We start from the raw sequence: 2,313 nt of genomic DNA, 5'->3' as shown, positions 1-2,313 counted from the left end.
TGCAGTGGCACAATCTCACTTCACTGCAACCTCCACTTCCCAGGTTCAAGCAATTCCCCTGCCACCCGAGCAGCTGGGATTATGGCATGCACCACCTCACCCAGCTAATTTTTGTATTTTTAGTAGAGACAGGGTTTCACAGGCTGGTCTCGAACTCCTGACCTCAAGTGATCCGCCCACCTCAGCCTCCCCAAGTGCTGGGATTACAGGTTTGAGCCACGGTGCCAGGCCCACTAGGTATGTTTCCGATCGGTGACTACAGATGACAGTTTTGCAGCACTACTTCCACTACTCCAATTCTCCCCTCCACTCATTGTTTCAGTGCTGCGACACACAACGCTGCGACGCACAAGCCACTGTCCCTCCAGCCTCCGGCAGCCGTTGCCTCCTGGACCCTCTGGACTGCACCAACAACCTCCTTGCCACCCTTCTAGCCTCCGTTTGCCACGTAGTCCAAAGCCAAATCTGCATGCTTTGTTTTATTACAGCACTCTCTTCTCCTGGGTACCAACTGCTGTCTGTAATCTATTGCTGCATAACACATCACCCCAAAACTTTTAGTCTTAAAATAATATCAGTTTATTGTTTCTCTCAATTCCATAGGTCAGCTGGAAGGTCCTCTGCTGGCATCACCAGGGCCCAGAGAAGTGGCTGCAATTAACGATAAGGTCAGCTGGCCTGGAACACCCAAGATGGTCTCATTCCCATGCCTGACAGTAGGTGCTGCCTAGCAGCAGGAGTGCCTCAGTTTCCCTCCACAAGGCCTTTCATATTCCATTAAGCTAGACTGGCTTCCTTACAAGGCAGTCCCAAGGCAGTGTGCCAAGAGAGCAAGCCTTAATGGGTAAGTATTTATCCAGTCTTTGCTTGTGTCGTGTGTGCATTGCTTTAAGTCACATGGCAGAGTCAGAGTCCCTGTGGGAGGGGAACACAGAAGAGCATGCATACCAAGAGGTGTGACTCATTGGGGACCATCACTGTGACAGTCTACCATACCAGGGCTCCACATAGAATGGGTCTTTTCTTCCTTTGGGCTCCCATAACTCTCTGAAGCTCTATTAAAAAGCACTCAACAGTCAGGCATGGTGGCTCACACCTGTAATCCCGCACTCTGGGAGGTAGGGGCAGGAGGATTGCTTGAGCCCAGGAGTTCAAGCCTGGGCAAAACAGTGAGACCCTGTCTATACAAAAAATATTTAACAATTAGCCAGACATGGTGGTGCACACCTGTGATCCCAGCTACATGGGAGGCTGAGGTGACAGAATTGCTTGAACTCAGAAGGTCAAGGCTGCAGTGAACTGTGTTCGCTCCACTGCACTCCAGCCTGGGTGAAGAGTGAGACCCTGTCTCCAAAAAAAAAAAAACAAAAAAAAACATAGTCTCTTGAAAATTATCAGTTCCATATAACTCACTTGCCATCTTTAAGCTGCTGCTTTTTTTTTTTTTTTTGAGACAAGGTCTTGCTCTGTCACCCAGGCTGGAGTACAGTGGCACAATCATGGCTTATTGCAACCTCAAACTCCTAGCTCATGTGATCCTCCTGCCTCATCCTCCCAAGTGGCTGGGACTACAGGCGCATGCAACCGCACCTGGCTAATTTATTTTTATATTTATTTTGTAGAGACAGGGTTTCATCATGTTGCCCATGCTGGTCTCAAACTCCTGGCCTCAAGCGATCTTCCCACCTGAGCCTCCCAAAGTGCTGGGATTGCAGGCGTGAGCCACCATGCCTGGCCTTTAAGCTTCTTTAAGCAGAAATGTCCAGGTCTATTTTTAATCCTATCTTCTATTTCATAGCCTAGTATGGGGCAGATATTCATACAATTTTTTTTTTCTTTTGAGATGGAGTCTTGCTCTGTCACCAGGCTGTGAGTGCAGTGGCGTGATCTCGGCTGACTGCGACCTCCGACTCCCTGGTTCAAGCGATTTTCCTGCCTCAGTCTCCCAAGTAGCTGGGATTACAGGCACACGCCACCACACCCAGCTAATTTTTTTTTTTTTTTTTTTTTTTTGTATTTTTAGTGGAGACAGGGTTTCACCATGCTGGCCAGGCTGGTCTGGAACTCCTGACCTCGTGATCCACCCGTCTCGGCATCCCAAAGTGCTGGGATTACAGGTGTGAGCCACCACGCTCGGCATATTCATTCAATTATCAACTGCTAGTGAAAGAGTACTAGCAACACAGTGCAGGGCATTGGTGTTTGTGTAGGGTTTGCAAGGGGTTCCTTCTTGGTGTTTCTCACCAGATATTCAAAGTACTGCACAGGTTCTGAATCTCCTTGGCTCTATGACTGTCCCAGCTTCCTGAAAAG

The 2,313-nt window shown here is 48.7% G+C and overlaps 1 annotated feature.

The window, feature by feature from the left end:
• Positions 770-1,064: an enhancer, noted in NCBI's record as "tiled region #10860; K562 Activating non-DNase unmatched - State 21:Repr". NCBI's record gives its function as "activates a minimal TATA promoter and a strong SV40 promoter by Sharpr-MPRA in K562 cells {active_cell/tissue: K562}" and the evidence as "EXISTENCE:reporter gene assay evidence [ECO:0000049][PMID:27701403]".

This window comes from Homo sapiens, chromosome 2 (assembly GCF_000001405.40).
Source record: "Homo sapiens chromosome 2, GRCh38.p14 Primary Assembly".
Classification (NCBI taxonomy): domain Eukaryota; kingdom Metazoa; phylum Chordata; class Mammalia; order Primates; family Hominidae; genus Homo; species Homo sapiens.
Note: the sequence above shows the minus strand (reverse complement) of the source record. Positions and strands in the feature narration are given on the sequence as shown.